Below are 18,287 nucleotides of genomic sequence, written 5' to 3'. Positions count from 1 at the left end.
TTAAGATTAACTATGGAGACATCTTCTAAGAAAAAAAAGATTTTCTGCTCTCTATGATAGTGATTGTTCTTTAAATTGGCCCATAATACTTTATTAATAAATTAAAATTATGTTCTGAATGTTTAATCAAATAATGCAAATTGAACAATATTGTCAAAATATCCATGACGACATGAAGCAGCAACTGAGAAGTCCCTTCTCCAAATCGCCAGTGTGCCTTACCTGTTCATGCTGCTTTGCCGACTTGATGGCTACTAACACTGTCATTTCAAGTTCTGCATATATCACGAGTTACTCGTCACCATTCTTGCCACATATATACGTTAAATTGGCTTGCCTATTAATGAAATTAAATGCTATTTTATTGATTTCACACATGGGTTGCACACATATTCTCTTCAAGCTGGGAATTTACACAAAATGGAAGCTTTACAAACTTGTGTTACTAGGAATCTGCTTTTTTTTTTTTTTTTTGAGACAGTCTTACTCTGTTGTCCAGGCTGGAGTGCAGTGGCACAATCTCAGCTCACTGCAGCCTCCACCCCACCACCCCCATCCTGGGTTCAGGCAATTCTCATGTCTCGGCCTCCAGAGTAGCTGGAATTACAGGTGCCTGCAACCATGCCTGGCTAATTTTTGTATTTTCAGTAGAGCTGGGGTTTCACTATCTTGGCCAGTCTGGTTTCGAACTCCTGACCTCAAGTGATTTGCCCGCCTTGGCCTTCCAAAGTACTGGGATTACAGGCGTGAGCCACTGCCCCCGGCTCAGAATCTGCTTTAAGTTCAAGAATTCTATAATCAGATTTTATTGTATTTTTTTAGGATGAATGATTACAAATGACATGGAGGGAGTTGGGAAAGGTAGGACATGATTAGAAACATTTCTTTAGTTTGAAATTGTAATCTTATGCTCAAGGGGCCTTCTATTAGTTCTTGGCACTGCTTTTGCTAGAGTCTTGAGTGTGATTACTCACCACCACGCTCAAGAGGAAAACTAAATAGCCAAGGGATCAAGAGTAGTCAAGAAATCAGACAAGGATACTCAGCCAGGCTGCACTCAGGGAACAAAAGCCCCGCTAAGTCCCTGAAGGGTCCAGGGAAGGAAGCAGGAAAATTGAGGCACTCCTAGGGAAACAGAAACCAGAAACCTGAAAGAAATTGAGGGGCTTCCTAAGAAAAATTATTAAGGGAGAAAGGTATGAGTTATATGAATAGTAGAAACTTGATAAATAGGACTGAAATGGAGCTTAATTATTTTGATAATTATAATGTATTGTCAACCAAGTGTTGGCGAGATTCTGCATTCCGGGCCAGCTGCAGTGGCTCACGCCTGTAATCCCAGCACTTTGGGAAGCCGAGGCGGGCAGATCACGAGGTCAGGAGTTTGAGACCAGCCTGGTCACTATGGTGAAACCCCATCTCTACTAAAATTATAAAAAATTAGCCGGGTGTGGTGGCACGCGCCTGTAGTCCCAGCTACTCGGGGAGCTGAGGCAGGAGAATTGCTTGAACCCAGGAGGTGGAGGTTGCAGTGATCCGAGATCACACCACTGCACTCTAGCCTGGAAGATAGAGTGAGACTCTGACAAAAAAAAAAAAAAAAGATTATGCATTCCAAATAGTGACAGATTAACATTATGGAGGGGAAAAGGAGTGTTTATCATAATTGTATGTGAATAGATAGAGGGCTGAGAAAAGTAAGCATAAGAAAATGTAAGGGGAATATCAGGGTAGGAAGAAAAACACTTCCAAACTTGGTTGGATGTGAACTAGCCTTGCAAGATAGCAGTGGTGATGACTCTGGAATTCAACAGTTATGTATCTTCTCCTTGGGCCACTGGTGACTAAAGACATGACATATGACAATCACCCTGAGCTGTCCCTGGTGATCTCAGAGAACTTTTGGACCTCTAGGTTTTGGCCCACCCAGCATCCAGAGTGTCCTACAGGGAACTAGCCCTCCTCCAAAATATGCAGTCTGAGGGAATGTCAACCATGGCTCCTCACTTCCACCACAAGAGTTGCGCACGTGTGCAACCCGACTTCTACATCTGTTAGACTCCTGGTCACAATTACTGTGGACTTGCTGTGTGCCAGGAACTGTTCTTAGAGCTCTACATATACTAACTCATCTAATCCTCAGAACAACTCTATGAGGCAGTTACATTTTACAGATGAGAAAACTGAGGTAAAGAGAGGTTAAATGACTTGCTCAAGGTCACACAGCTCGTAAGAGAAAAAGCCAGATTTGAATCTGAGCAATCTAGTTCCTGCTGGCTGCAGGGAAGACAGGGAAAGAGGCTATTTCAACTTTTCCAGCCTTTAAAGCAGAGTAAGGCAAGCAAAGTTGGGAGATACTGAATGAGTCAACTGTGATGTCTGCCAAATCTGTCTGGTCAGTTTCCTCTTCCCCTGTTGCTAATTATTTCTTCCTGTCTGTTGCGGCTTTGTATGTGATTCAAATAATTCTCCAATGTCACACTCATTGCTTCATGAACCACATCTTTTATGAGACTTGCAATTTCACTTTGCAATTGATTGCATAGTAGTCTTTGTAGTCGTGAATATCATCTGAAAGTGGCAGGTACATTTACAGTATCTGACAGCCGATGAGAGACTGACCCCAGATCTTTGATTGATAGCTGGCATGGGTACTAGTGTGTTTGGGCAGGGATGTTTCATGGGGGATGATTTAAATAAATGGACAGCTCAGGAGGGCATTTTAATAACGTATTTACTTTCCTACATAACCTGGTAACCCAAATTCTTATATAATGATTACTAGGATCATGATGTGAAATTTGCAGATAGCAAGATGAAATCACGTTTGTCAGACCCAGACAAAATAGGGCCAGAAAAACCTGAAAGAGAGGAGGTCCATGCTTACATGTTTGAGATAAGAAAGTCCAAGGACTTTCGGCCAGCACAGTGGCTCATGCCTGTAATCCTAGTACTTTGGGAGGTCGAGGTGGGTAGATCACCTGAGGTCAGGAGTTCGAGACTAACCTGGCCAACATGGTGAAACTCCGTCCCTACGAGAAATACAAAAATTAGCTGGGTGTGATGGCATGTGCCTGTAATCACAGCTACTCAGGAGGCTGAGGCAGGAGAATCGCTTGAACCCGGGAGGTGGAGGTTGCAGTGAGCTGAGATTGCGCCATTGCACTCCAGCCTGGGGGACAAGAGCAAAACTCCATCAAAAAAAAAAAAAAAAGTCCAAGGACTTTCTAGAAGCCCTTTTACACCTGCTTTGATAAAGCTTATCATTAGACATGCTTTAGAATTGGCAGTAATTCAGACAAGATGTTCTCAGAAGAACGCTTGCCCAGTAGTGGAATCTCCACCAATAACTGACAACTACTCTGGCTTTGAAACTCTGGAATCAATGAACTCTGTTCTAAGCAGCTTATGTCAATCTCTTTTTGCTAGTAAAATCTCCCCTTATCCTTCTCTCACCAAACAGGCTGGTGGCTTGCCATTCTGTGCATTCCAGATTATAATCCTGAGTAAACGCAACATATTCAGACATAATTTTCTCTGTCTTTATTTAAGTTGACAATAAGAACTTCTTGAATATAGTACACAGTAACCTAATTCTTAATTCCCCTCAGCCCCACATCTGCCTTAAGGAGGATATTCAAAGAATGTGGATGCCATTAATAATGACAAGAAAGATCTGTAGGCTTGAGGCCCCCTTGGCTCAGACTCATGCATTCCTCAGTTCTTCAGGTTACCCCTCTGTCCATAGCTAGGTCTGATGTCCATCAGAATCCTTCAGCTTCAGCTGTAGATGCAGCTCTCCTTGAGCCACTGCTGCTGCCTTAGGTCCCTCTGTGGCTGACCACAGAACCTGACTGCAGTTGCAGTCTTGCTTGTGACTTGCCTGGAGAGCCTCTATCTTGTTCACCAAGGGGTGTCTGTTGAGCAGCTGATGCTGCTGTCTTTATGTGGAGGAAGGTCTCTTCAAGGAATGTTTCACAATTATTTTTTAAATCCTGAAATGGTGTCATTATTCCCTCAGTCTTCTGTGATTACATAAAGATACTTGGACCATGAAGAAATTTGGAAGGAAACAGGCAGGGTCTTACTTACCCTCTGTGAAAATTAAAATTATCACTGTCATTCATATATATATAGATAGATAGATAGATAGATAAATACATGTTAAATATTTTATTCATTGATCAGTGAAGGATTGAATCAGGCATACATTATAACCTGAAGAACAGACATTTATAGATCAAGAACAGTGAAATGGGCCAGGTATGGTAGCTCACACCTATATCCCAGCATTTTGGGAGGCTGAGGCAGTAGGATTGCTTGAGGCCAGGAGTTTGAGACCAGGCTAAGCAACACAGACAAAAAAATTTTTAAAAATTGTTTTAATTAGCTGGGCATGGTGGCACACCTATAGTGCCAGCTACTTGGGAGGCTGAGGCAGGAGGATCACTTGAGCCCAGGAGTTCATGCATGCCTCAGAAACAAGATCTCTTCAACATCTTGATCTCCTCCCATTCTCCTGTCTTCCCCACTACCCTCTGCAAAGTGAGTCATAGAAACCAGAATTCTTCTTCACCAAGTTGGGTCATAGAAACTAAAAGTCTTCTTCCGCAAAGCAAGTCATAAAACCTAGAAAGGTAACTTTGTCCCTTCTCTCTTGAGGACCTTCATGTAACAGGTGTCCTAACCTCTACTGGACAGGAAAGGAATGCTATGCAGAGAGACCAAGAAGAACCTGAACAGACAGGTCTTGCGGGGTTTCCCCTTCAGTCTATTACCATTAGATCATAACCTGTCCAATCACAGTTCTACATGGCTATCCGTTCTTTATCCAACCTAAACATAAAAACAGTTTCCCCTGGATCTTTAGACCTTCACTTCTGAAGGCTCTTGTGTCACACACAACTTTGATTAAATAGATTTGTTATGCTTTTCTTTTGTTAACCTGTCTTGTGCTTTAAGAGTGTTAGCTGTCCGCCTTCTATGGGAAGGAAAGATATCACAATTTTCTACCCTTATACCACCAAGTTCAACCTCCCATCATGATGTTTTCCAGATACAAACTCATTTGATCTTACTTAACTTTTTTCAGCATCCCGTAAGGGGGCACAGCAGCAATTGTTACATTTTGCAGGGGGAGAGACAGCTGCAGAGGGGTTGAAGGAATTGCTAGGGTTACACAGCTGATACACTGCCTCGCCTGAGTTGAAAACCAGCTCTGCATGTCTGCAGCTGCTCTTGCTCGGTACCACACAGCGGAGGCTGGTCCCAAGTCTCCTCTTCTGTTAATAGAAAAATGGGATAATCATCATTTCATTTTTCAATTCTGAGATTCTGGGCAGCTTCTCTAGTTTTATTTGCAATTCAACAGAGGAATCTAGCAGGTTTGTAAGTTACATCCTCACTTACTCATTTTAGAAAATGGGTGATTATATTCACTCTCAAGCTGGTTGGCTGACTCTTCAAAAGCCGTAGTCTCCCACAGTGAAGAATCTAAAATGACAATCAGGATCTTAAGAGACATGAAGGTGAAGAAAAGACAAAATAATAATTCTAATTGTTCTATCGATCTCTTGGCCAAGGAGCAAGACAAAAATCAATTATAAATAACAATAGCTTTTAACTCATTGAGCTATCTTTTCTCTTAAAATCAAGATAAAAGCCAAATTGTAGATGGCTAGAGATAGAATAAATGTTAATTTCCAGAAAGGCCCCTTCAGCAGTCATATGAGTAACAGATAGATTCTATCAGGGCTCAGAACACAGTGCCTCAAAATATGGCACCTTGGCATGCTGAGTACTTTGAACTGAAGGAGATTGCAAAGACTAAGAAGCAAGGTTTCTCTGACCTTCGCCTACTCTCCTGTCTCCCACGCCTCATTCTTCCCTGAATTAAGTCATAGACTCTAGAGTTCCTCTTCCCGAGGGCTGATCATAGAAACTAGAATTCCTCTCCCCACACACAAGCCATAAAACCTAGAAAGGTCACTCTCCTCCTTCTCCCTTGAAGATTCTTATTCCAGAGGGATCCTGCCCCATACCCAGGAGGGAAGAAACGCTACACAGACAGGCCAAGAAGAATCTGAACAGACAAGCCTTGCTTGGTTTCCTCCTCAGTCTACTACCATTAGATCATAACCTTCTGGGTTTCCCCCTCAGTCTATTGCCATTAGATTATAACCTTCTGTCCAATCACATTTCTACATGGCTATCCATTCTTCATTGAATCTAAGCTTAAAAATGCAGTTTTCCCTGGGTCTTTGGGTATTTGTATTTCTCAAGGCTCCTGTGTCACATACAATATTGATTAAATAAATTAGTTTTGCATCTCTCTCATTAACCTGTCTTTATAGAATGTTGGCGTACCCCTTACTATGGGGAGGAAAGGCACACTTCTCTATTTACCTGGGCTCTAGTTATCTTATTTACCTGGGCTCTTAAAAATACCAGCTACAATCAGAGGTTCTAAGAGAGCCTCAAAAAAGATGGCCTTTCCCAAAGTATATTTCATCAAGTGGGAGCTTCTTATATTTTCTTGGCTTCTGTTGAAACTTTTATAGTTAAATGATGTGACAAAATAATGACACTAGCTTCCGTTTTGATGATGAGACAAGTTAATTATACTAACTTCTGTTTTTCCTTTCTCCTTGCCTTACTAAGAGAATTTTATTTTTCTATAGTTTAGGAATAAAAGCCTAGAAGTTTCAGAATCTGGGAAGGCAGCCAATAAATGTCACCCTCTGAAAAACAAATATCATCAGAATAAAAAAAGGATGACATTAACTGACTTCTGAGGAAATAACACATTGACGTGATGATTGGTAAGTGGGAGGCAGTTTAGATCAGAACATTTATCAAAGTGAATTGTCACTAGAAACCTTCCTGAAAGAAAGAGTTCCATGGTCAAATATTTTCTCAAATGCTGGGTTAAATATTGCTCAAACACATTTGTTTATTGCAGTACTTCTCAAAACCTTTAATATGCTCATGTACACTGTGAGGTTCTAACAAGACCTATGGTATACAGTATTTTCCAAATATATGTTACCAGATAATTAATTTTTGTAGACAAACCTACTTTGGCAAACTCCTTACTAGAGTATTTTCTTAATTTCACATTAAGGGATTCACATTATCTACCGGTTTATATTTCTATAAATAAATTTATTTATACAAATACATTTCTGTTTATACAATTAAGTTTATATGAAAAGATTATTTATACAGATGAATTGTCACATGTCTCAGTATGCACTGTAATTCTAATCTGAGAAGCAGGATTGATAAGGAGAGTGAGAGAGTAGGAAGAATTTGAGCCAGGCTCCCTAGGTGTTTCTCTATAGCAGATGTATTAGTCTGCTCAGGCTATCAGTCTAAGTGGCTTAAACAACAGAAATTGTTTTAAGTTCTGGAGGCTGGAAGGCCAGGATGAAGATATTGGCAGGGCTGGTTTCTTCTGAGGCCTCCATCTTTGGCTTGCAGATGGCTGCCTTCTCCTTGTATCTTCATGTGGTCTTTCTTCTGCAAACATCTGTGTTCTAGTCTCTTCCTTTTAAAAGGACACCAGTCATATTGGATTAAGTCCTACTCTAATACTTCATTTAAACTTAACTGATCTGCAAATACAATTCCATTCTGAGGCACTGAGGAATCAGGACTTCAGCATATGAATTTTGGGTTGACTCAATTCAGTTCACAACAGTGAAACCACCTCTGCAAAATTATGACTGAGATTATGAAAGAGATCTAACCAACTCCATCTTGGTTCTAACTTTAAGCTGTCCTTGTTCCTTCCTGGGTGTAGGCTGAACTAACTTTGGGAGGAACTTAGTTTATAGTTTAAACAGAGATGATAACAGCCCTTTTCCAAAACAAACCTCCTTCTTGCCTGGGGACTAGACTGCCTTTGTAGGACTAACAAATTAGCCACAAGATTAGAAATTATGGTTTAGGAGTCAGGCAGCTGGAGGCTACAGGATTCTGACCCTCCTTAAACTGCTCCTATCAGTGTTTCAGATATTTTGCAGACCTTGCACTTGATGGATCAGCTGGCACCACCCAGATTGATAAAGTGGCTCATCTGATCTTGTGGCCCATACCCAGGAACGGACTCAGTGCAAGAGGACAGCTTCAACTTCCCATGATTTCATCTCCTACCTAACCAATTAGCACTCCTGGCTCACTGGCTTCTCTCTACCCACCAAGTTGTCCATAAAAACTCTCTGAATGCTCGGGGATACTAATTTGAATAAAAGTAAAACTCTTGTCTCCCACACAGCGGGCTCTGAGTGAATTACTCTTTCTCTATAGCAATTTCTCTGTCTTGATAAACCGGCTCTGTCTAGGTAGTGGGCAAGGTGAACCCATTGGGTGGTTACAACAGTGGGCCAGGGACATAAAATACCAAAAGTAGCTACACATTCCATGGAGACCCGAACATTCCTGCACTCCATCTTGGTCCTTCTTGAGCAGGCTCTGAGCCTGAGTTGGTTTTTCATGAGGATATTTCAACTAGGAGGAACCAGCCTCACAGCCAGACACAATCTCTTGAACTGTTATATTCCCCGCAAAAATATAACAGTTAATGCCTCAGCCCGCTTTGTGAGAGAATCTCTTGAATATTTGGCTAAGTTGATTCAGTTTCCCTGGCCCTGATCACATTAACTGCCATTACCTGGGAGTCCAGGGGAACGACTTTAAGGATCAGTGGTGTGGCAGGGACTATTAACAATAATGGCTCCTGTGTCCTGAATTGTGGTGGGCATTCTACATCAGTGTTGTCTCATCTGCTGCTTGTAACATCTCTGAGATAAAGATGATATTATTGCCTCTAGATTACAGATGAGGAAACTGAATACTAAAAAATGTAACTGTCATAGTATAACAAATAGGAAAAAATTTGAAGTTTCCTATGCTCTGAGCTACAATGTTAAATACAGTTTAAATTATCTCAGTTGGTTTTGTAGGGGAGGAAAAACTCTCCTTCTACCCTTTTGGGATGTGTGGCTGGGAACTATGAATTGAACTGACAAAAGACAGATTAACAGGAGCAAAGGCATACAACTTTTATTAACAGTTTTACACGCACAAGATGTTCAAAGACACAGGGGCTTGTATATCATCCTAACAAATAACAATTTGTGAAGGAACTAGATAAAGGAAAAGAGGATTAAGACTCCTAGGCACAGTGAATTTTCGGGAGGCGATGAGGAAATGTATGGCATATAAGGATTGCTTAGTAGGGCTTGTTATGCAGATTCATTTTGGTGCCAAGAGTCAGGCTCCTCTCCCTGGTATGGTACGGGGGGGATACCTTAACAAATGGAAATCTATGCTTTGCTTTTAGGCAAAAAGGGGGAGGGAAGAGAGGTCTTCCCACATCTGCTGTTTTGCAACTGCCTTCAGCTAAAAGTAATTTTTATGCCAAAGTGGCATATTTTGGGGGTAACATTCATATTCCCTTCAGTTTCTACAACACTTTGAGGCAGGTCTGATTAGCCCCATTTTTTCCTTCTGCAATTTAATGTTAATTTTTCATTTTTGTGAGGACATAGTAGGTATATATATTTATGGGGTACATGAGATGATAAGGCATGCAATATGAAATAATCAAATCATAGAGAATGGGACATCCATCCCCTCAAGCATTTATCCTTGGTGTTACAAACAATTCAATTACAGTCTTTTAGTTATTTAAAAGTATATAGTTACTATTGACTATAGTCACTCTGTTGTGCTATGAAATATTAGGTCTTATTCATTCTTTCTAAGTGTGTTTTTGTACCCATTAACCACCCCCACCTCTAGCACAGCCCCCTACCACCCTCACCAGCCTCTGGTAACAATCCTTCTACTCTCTATCCCCATGAGTTCAATTGTTTTAATTTTTAGCTTTCACAAATAAGTGAGAACATGAGAAGTTTTTCTTTCTCTGCCTGGCCTATTTCACTTAACATAATGACCTCCAGTTCCATTCATGTTGTTGCAAATGAAAGGATCTCATTCATTTTTATGGCTGAATGGTACTCCATTGTGTATATATACCACATTTTCTTTTATTATTATTATACTTTAAGTTCTGAAGTACATGTGCAGAACATGCAGTTTTGTTACATAGGTATACACGTGCCATGGTGGTTTGCTGCACCCATCAACCCGTCACCTACATTAGGTATTTCTCCTAGTGCTGTCCCTTCCCTAGCCCCCCACCCCCCAATAGGCCCCAGTGTGTGATGTTTCCCTCTCTGTGTCCATGTGTTCTCATTGTTCAGCTCCCACTTATGAGTGAGAACATGTAGTGTTTGGTTTTCTGTTCTTGTGTTAGTTTGCTGAGAGTGATGGTTTCCAGCTTCATCCATGTCCCTGCAAAGGCCATGAACTCATCCTTTTTTATGGCTGCATAGCCTTCCATGGTGTATATGTGCCACATTTTCTTTATCCAGTCTATCATTGATGGACATTTGAGTTGGTTCCAAGTCTTTGCTATTGTAAATAGTGCCACAATAAACATACATGTGCATGTGTCTTTATAATAGAATGATATATGTGTGCATGTGTCTTTATAGTAGAATGATTTATAATCCTTTGGGTATACACCCAGTAATGGGATTGCTGGGTCAAATGGTATTTCTAGTTCTAGATCCTTGAGGAATCGCCACACTGTCTTCCACAACGGTTGAACTAATTGACACTCCCAATAACAGTGTAAAAGCGTTCCTATTTCTCCACACCCTCTCCAGCATCTGTTGTTTCCTGACTTTTTAATGATCGCCATTCTAACTGGCATGAGATGGTATCTCATTGTGGTTTTGATTTTCATTTCTCTAATGACAAGTGATGATGAGCTTTTTTCATATGCTTGTTGGCTGCATAAATGTCTTCTTTTTAGAAGTGTCTGTTCATATCCTTCACCCACTTTTTGATGGGGTTGTTTGTTTTTTTCTTGTAAATTTGTTTAAGTTCTTTGTAGATTCTGGATATTAGCCCTTTGTCAGATGGATAGATTACAAAAATTTTTTTCCCATTCTGTAGGTTGCCTGTTCACTCTGATGATAGTTTCTTTTGCTGTGCAGAAGCTCTTTATTTTAATTAGATCCCATTTGTCAATTTTGGCTTTCGTTGCCATTGCTTTTGGTGTTTTAGACATGAAGTCTTCGCCCATGCCTATGCCCTGAATGGTATTGCCTAGGTTTTCTTCTAGGGTTTTTATGGTTTTAGGTCTTACGTTTAAGTGTTTAATGCATCTTGAGTTAATTTTTGTATAAGGTGTAAGGAAAGGGTCCAGTTTCAGTTTTCTGCATATGGCTAGCCAGTTTTCCCAACACCATTTATTAAATAGGGAATCGTTTCCCCATTTCTTGTTTTTGCCAGGTTTGTCAAAGATCAGATGGTTGTAGATGTGTGGTGTTCTTTCTGAGGTCGCTGTTCTGTTCTATTTGTGTATATATCTGTTTTGGTACCAGTACCATGCTGTTTTGGTTACTGTCGCCTTGTAGTATAGTTTGAAGTCAGGTAGCCTGATGCCTTCAGCTTTGTTCTTTTTGCTTAGAATTGCCTTGGCTATGTGGGCTCTTTTTTGGTTCCATATGAAGTTTAAAGTAGTTTTTTTCAATTCTGTGAAGAAAGTCAATGGTAGCTTGAGGGGGATAGCATTGAATCTATAAATTACTTTGGGCAGTATGGCCATTTTCACGATATTGATTCTTCCTGTCCATGAGCATGAAATGTTTTTCCATTTATATGTGTCCTCTCTTATTTCCTTGAGCAGTGGTTTGTGTAGTTCTCCTTGAAGAGGTCCTTCACATCCCTTGTAAGTTGAATTCCTAGGTATTTTATTCTCTTTGTAGTAATTGTGAATGGGAGTTCACTCATGATTTGGCTCTCTGTCTGTTATTGGTGTATAGGAATGCTTGTGATTTTTACACATTGATTTTGTACCCTGAGACTTTGCTGAGATTTTTACCCTGAGACTTTGCTGAAGTTGTTTATTAGCTTAAGAACATTTTGGGCTGACTTGGTGGGGTTTTCTAAATATACAATCATGTCATCAGCAAAGAGAGACAATTTGACTTCCTCTCTTCCTATTTGAATACATGTTATTTCTTTCTCTTGCCTGACTGCCCTGGCCAGAACTTTCAATACTATGTTGAATAGGAGTGGTGAGAGAGGGCATCCTTGTCTTGTGCTGGTTTTCAAAGGGAACGCTTCCAGTTTTTGCCCATTCAGTATGATATTGGCAGTGGGTTTGTCATAAATAGCTCTTATTATTTTGATACATTCCATCGATACTTGGTTAATTGAAAGTTTTTAGCATAAAAGGGTGTTGACTTTGGTGAAAGCCTTCTCTGCATCTATTGAGATAATCATGTGGTTTTTGTTGTTGGCTCCGTTTATGTGATGGATTACGTTTATTGATTTGCACATGTTGAACCAGCCTTGCATCCCAGGGATGAAGCTAACTTAATATGGCGGATAAGCTTTTTATGTGCTGCTGGATTCCGTTTGCCAGTATGTCATTGAGGATTTTCACATCAATGTTTATCAGAGATATTGGCCTGAAATTTTCTTTTTTTGTTGTGTCTCTGCCAGGTTTTGGTATCAGGATGATGCTGGCCTCATAAAATGAGTTAGGGAGGATTCCCTCTTTTTCTATACTTTGGAATAGTTTCAGAAGGAATGGTACCAGCTCCTCTTTGAACCTCTAGTAGAATTCAGCTGTGAATCCATCTGGTCCTGAACTTTTTTTGGTTGGTAGGCTATTAATTACTGTTATTGGCCTATTCAGGGATTCGACTTCTTCCTGGTTTAGACTTGGGAGGGTGTATGTGTCCAGGAATTTATCCATTTCTTCTAGATTTTCGAGTTTATTTGCATAGAGATGTTTATAGTATTCTCTGATAGGAGTTTGTATTTCTGTGGGATCAGTGGTGATAACCCCTTTATCATTTTTTATTGTTTCTATTTGATTCTTCTCTCTTTTCTTCTTTATTAGTCTGGCCTGCGGTCTATTTTGTTGATCTTCTCAAAAAGCAAGCTCCTGGATTCGTTGATTTTTTTTGAAGGGTTTTTCGTGTCTCTATCTCCTTCAGTTCTGCTCTGATCTTAGTTATTTCTTGTCTTCTGCTAGCTTTTGAATTTGTTTGCTCTTTCTTCTCTAGTTCTTTTAATTGTAATGTTAGGGTATCGATTTTAGATCTTTCGTGCTTTCTCTTGTGGGCATTTAGTGCTATGAATTTCCGTCTACATACTGCTTTAAATGTGTCCCAGAGATTCTGGTACATTGTGTCTTTGTTCCCATTGGTTTCAAAGAACACCTTTATTTCTGCCTTCATTTCGTTATTTACCCAGTAGTTATTCAGGAGCAAGTTGTTCAGTTTCCACGTAGTTGTGTGGTTTTGAGTGAGTTTCTTAATCCTGAGTTCTAATTTGATTGCACTGTGGTCTGAGAGACAGTTTGTTGTGATTTCTGTTCTTTTGCATTTGCTGAGGAGTGTTTTACTTCCAATTATGTTACACCACATTGTCTTTATCCATTCATCTGTTAATGGACTCTGAGGTTGCTTCCAAATCTTAGCTATTGTGAACAATGCTGTAACAAACATGGGAGTGCAGATAGCTTTTCAAAATATGCATTTCCTTTCTTTTGGTTATATAACCAGCAGTGGAATTGCTGGATCAAATGATAGCTCTATTTTTACTTCTTTGAGGAGGCTGTAAACTGTTTTCCACAGTGGTTGTACTAATTTACATTCCCACCAACAGTGTACAAGGGTTCCCTTTTCTCCACATCCTTGACAGCATTTGTTATGGCCTTTTGGACGTAAGCCATTTTAACATTTTAATTGGGGTGAGGTGATATCTCACTGTAGCTTTGATTTGCATTTCTCTGATGATCAGTGATGTTGAGCCCCTTTTCATATGCAAGTTTACTATTTGTATGTCTTCTTTTGAGAAATGTCTATTCAAATCTTTTGCCCATTTTTTGATCAGATTATTAGATTTCTTCCTATACAGTTGTCTGAGCTCCTTATATAGTCTGGTTATTAATTCCTTGTCAGATGGATAGTTTGCAGATATTTTCTCCCATTCTGTGGGTTGTCTCTTCACTTTGTTGATTCTTTCCTTTGCTGAGCAGAAGCTTTTTAACTTGATGTGATCCCATTTGTCCATTTTTGCTTTGGTTGCCTGTGCTTGTGGGGTATTACTCAAGAAATTTTTGCACAGACCGATATCCTGGAGATTTTCCCCCAATGTTTTCTTGTAGTAGTTTCATAGGTTAAGGTCTTATATTTAAGTCTTCAGTACATTTTGATTTGATTTTTGTATATGGCAAGAGATAAAGGGCTAGTTTCATTCTTCTCCATGTGGATCTTCAGTTTTCCTAGCACCATTTATTAATGTCTTTTCTTCAGTATATGTTCTTGGCATCGTTGTAAAAAATGAGTTCACTGTGGGAAATGAGTTCACCGTGGGATTATTTCTGGGCTCTCTATTCTGTTGCACTGGTCTATGTGTCTGTTTTTATGCCAGTACCATGCTGTTTGGGTTACTATAGCTCTGTAGTATAATGTGAAGTCAGATAATGTGATTATTTCAGTTTTGTTCTTTTTGCTTAGGACCGCTTTGGCTATTCCAGGTCTTCTTAGGTTCAATATAAATTTTAGAATTGTTTTCTTTATTTCTGTGAAGAATGTCATTGGTTTTTTGGTAGAGATTGCATTGAATCTACAGATTGCTTTGGGTAGTACTTACCATTGCCAGTGAGTTTTCTACCTTCAGGTGATTACTTATTGCAGATTAACATCCTTTTCTTTCTGATTGAAGTACTCCCCACTTAAGCATTTCTTGTAGGACAGGTCTGGTGTTGATGAAGTCCTTCAGCTTTTGTTTGTCTAGGAAAGTCTTTATTTCTACTTCATGTTTGAAGGACATTTTTGCCAGATATACTATTCTAGGGTAAACTTTCTTCTCCTTCAGCACTTTAAATATGCCATGCTACTCTCTCCTGGCCCATAAGCTTTCCACTGAAAGGTCTGCTGCCAGACATATTGGAGCTACATTGTGTGTTATTCATTTCTCTTCTCTTAGGTTTGAGAAGTTCTCTGTTATTATTCCTTTGAATAAATTTTCTACACCTATCTCTTCCCTTACCTCCTCTATAAGGCCAGTAAGTCATAGATTTTCACGAGGTGGGCAGATCACTTGAGGTCAGGAGTTCGAGACCAGCCTGACCAACATGGTGAAACACCGTCTCTACTGAAAATACAAAAATTAGCTGGGCGGGTGGTGCACACCTGTAATCCCAGCTACTTGGGAGGCTGAGGCAGGAAACTTAAACCTGGGAGGTGGAGGTTGCAGTGAGCTGAGATCATGCCACTGCACTCCAGACTAGGTGACAGAGCCAGACTCCATCTCAAAAAAAAAAAAAAAAAAAAAAGCCCGGTGTGGTGGCTCACACCTGTAATCCCAGCACTTTGGGAGGCCGAGGTGAGAGGATCACAAGGTCAGGAGATCAAGACCATCCAGGCTAACATGGTGAAACCCCATCTTTACTAAAAATACAAAAAATTAGCCAGGCATGGTGGCAGGCGCCTGTAGTCCCAGCTACTCGGATGGCTGAGGCAGGAGAATGGCGTGAACCAGGGAGGCAGAGCTTGCAGTGAGCCAAGATCATGCCACTGCACTCCAGCCTGGGTGACAGAGCAAGACTCCATCTCCAAAAAAAAAAAAAAAAAAAAAGTCTCAGATTTTCCCTCTTGAGGCTATTTTTTCTTTTGTCTCCTCTACTTTCAAATAGCCTGTCCTCAAGCTTGCTAATTCTTTCTTCTGCTTGATGAATTCTGCTATAAAAAGACTCTTATGCATTCTAAAGTGTGCCATCTGCATTTCTCAACTCCAGAATTTCTGCTTGATTCCCTTTAATTATTTCAATCTGTTTCTTATATTTGTCTGATAGAATTCTGGATTCCTTCTCTGTGTTATCTTGAATTTCTTTGAGGTTCTTCAACACAGATATTTTGAATTCTGTGTCTGAAAGGTCACATATCTCTGTTTCTCCAGGATTGGTCCATGGCAGCTTATTTAGTTCGTTTGGTGAAGTCATGTTTTACTGGATGTTGTTGATGCTAATAGTTGTTCTTTGGTGTCTAGGCATTGAATAATTAGATATTTATTGTAGTTGGCACTGTCTAGGCTTGTTTGTACTCATTTTTCTTGGGAAGACTTTCCAGGTATTTGAAAGGACTTAGGTGTTGTGATCTAAGCTGTATCTGCTTTAGAGGGGTCCCCAAACCTAGTAATACTGTGGTTCTTGAAGACTTGTGGAAGTACTGCCTTGACAGTCTTGGACTGGATCCAAGAGAATTTTCTGGATTACCAGGCAGAGACTCTTTTTCTCTTCCCTTACTTTCTCCCAAACAAATGAAGCCTCTCTGTTCTGAGCCACCTAAAGCTTGGGGAAAAGTGACACAAGCACTCCTGTTGCCACCACCACTAGTCTGACCCTGAAGTCGTCAGACCTAGTGCCAGCACAGCACTGGGTCTTGCCCAAAGCCTACTGTAACCACTCCCTAGCAACTGCCTATGTTTGCTTAAGGTCCAGTGGCTCTATAATCAGCAGGTGGCAACCCAGCCAGGACTGTGTCCTTCCCTTCAGAGCAGTGGGTTCCCCCAGAACCTGGGTGGGTCCAGAGGTGCCAACCAGGACTCCGGGACTAGAATCAAAAACCTTAGGAGTCTAGCTGCTATTCTATTGTACTGCAGCTAAGCTGCACTCAAATCGCAATACATAGTCCTTCCCATTCTTCCCTCCTTTTTTTAAAGGCAGAGGGGCCTCATCCCAAGTACACCACCATAGGCCATGAGTAGTAGTACGGCCAGACTATCACTGATAGTCCCTTAAGGCCTAAGGGCTCTTATGTCAGCTTGTGGTGAATGCTGCCTGGCCTGGGACTCACCCTTCAGGGCAACGGGCTTCCTTCTGGCCCAGGGTAGGTGCAGAGATGCCATCCAAGTTAAGCCCTGGAATCGAGGTCCCCAGGAGCCTCCTTGGTGCTCTCCCTCACTGTGGCTGTGCTGGTACCTAAGGTGCAAGATAAACTCCCCTTTACTTTTCTCTCTGCTTTTCTCAAGCAGAAGGAGTTTCACCCTGTAGCCACCAAAGCTGATAAACCGCTGAGTCTCACCTGAAGCCAGCAAGTCTCAGAGGCTCACTCAAGACACTTGACGTAGAACTTGGGTATCACTGCTTGTTATTTAGCCCCCAAGGGCTCTTCAGTTAGCAGTTGATAAATGCTGCCAAGACTGGGTCCTTCCCTTCAGGGCTGCAGATCCTCTTCTGGGCGGGCTGCAGATTCTCTTCTGGGCTAGGGTGTGTCTAGAAATGTTATCTAGGAACTAGGATCTGAAATGGGGGCCTCACAACTCCGACTGGTTCCCTATCCTGTTGCTGAGCTGATATCCAAGATGCAAGACAAAGTCCTCACTCCTCTTTCTCCTCTCCTCAAGCAGAAGGAAGGAGTCTCTTTTGGAGCCACAAGCCGTGCAGCCCGGGGTAGGGGAGGGGTGACGCCACTCCCTTAGCCACCCCAGCTGGTGTCTCAGTATGTCATGTGCCTTCCACACCCCAGGTCCACTGTCTCTGGGCCCAGTTCAGCACTAGGACTTGCCTAAGAGTTGCAGTCCTCATGGCCAAGACTGCCTTTTCAGTTTACTTAGAGACCCAGAGCAGTTTAGTCCTTGGGAGTGAGGTTTGTGGGAATTCAAGTTCAGACTGCGGGAATCAGCGATTCCCCTCTGGCTAGGGCTGGTTTAAATACTCCCTTCATGGGTAGGCAGCTGAGTTTGGTCCAGTTAAACAGGGAAGCACTGAGTTCAATGCCTCAGAATTACTATGTTCTTGTTCTCCCTGCAGAGAGAAATGCTGTCTGAACCATGCTGCTGCTGTGGAGTGGGGAGGGGTAGCACTGGCTGTTCAAGATGTTTTTCTATCTCTTCGGTGCCACTTTCAGAGATATGAAGATAAAACCTGTTACTATGAGGGCTAACCTGAGAGTTGGTTCTTACACAAGTGATTTCCCTGTGTAGACAGTTGTTAAATTGGTGTCTTTGTCGGGGAGACGATCGGTGGTGCCTTCTATTCCACCATCTTGCTCCACCTCTCTGCTTCAGCCTCATTTTAGAGATGAGAAAAATAAAGCCAAGCGTTATTAAGGGTTACAAGGTTTATAAACAGAAATTAAATTATAAGCCGGTGTCTATGACTTCAAAACCACTAACATGTGTACTGT

General features: G+C 41.1%; 1 long non-coding RNA gene across 1 annotated transcript in view, besides 1 other annotated feature; it reads left to right on the top strand.

Annotated features, from left to right (window-relative positions):
• The window catches only part of IL12A-AS1 (IL12A antisense RNA 1), a 293,693-nt gene that overhangs the window by 74,950 nt on the left and 200,456 nt on the right, over positions 1 to 18,287 (top strand). The window lies entirely within an intron of this gene.
• Positions 2,207 to 2,501: a silencer, noted in NCBI's record as "tiled region #6612; HepG2 Repressive non-DNase unmatched - State 24:Quies". NCBI's record gives its function as "represses a minimal TATA promoter and a strong SV40 promoter by Sharpr-MPRA in HepG2 cells {active_cell/tissue: HepG2}" and the evidence as "EXISTENCE:reporter gene assay evidence [ECO:0000049][PMID:27701403]".

This window comes from Homo sapiens, chromosome 3 (genome assembly GCF_000001405.40).
Source record: "Homo sapiens chromosome 3, GRCh38.p14 Primary Assembly".
Lineage (NCBI taxonomy): Eukaryota > Metazoa > Chordata > Mammalia > Primates > Hominidae > Homo > Homo sapiens.
The sequence above is the reverse complement of the archived record's forward strand: the minus strand, read 5'-3'. Positions and strand labels throughout refer to the sequence as shown.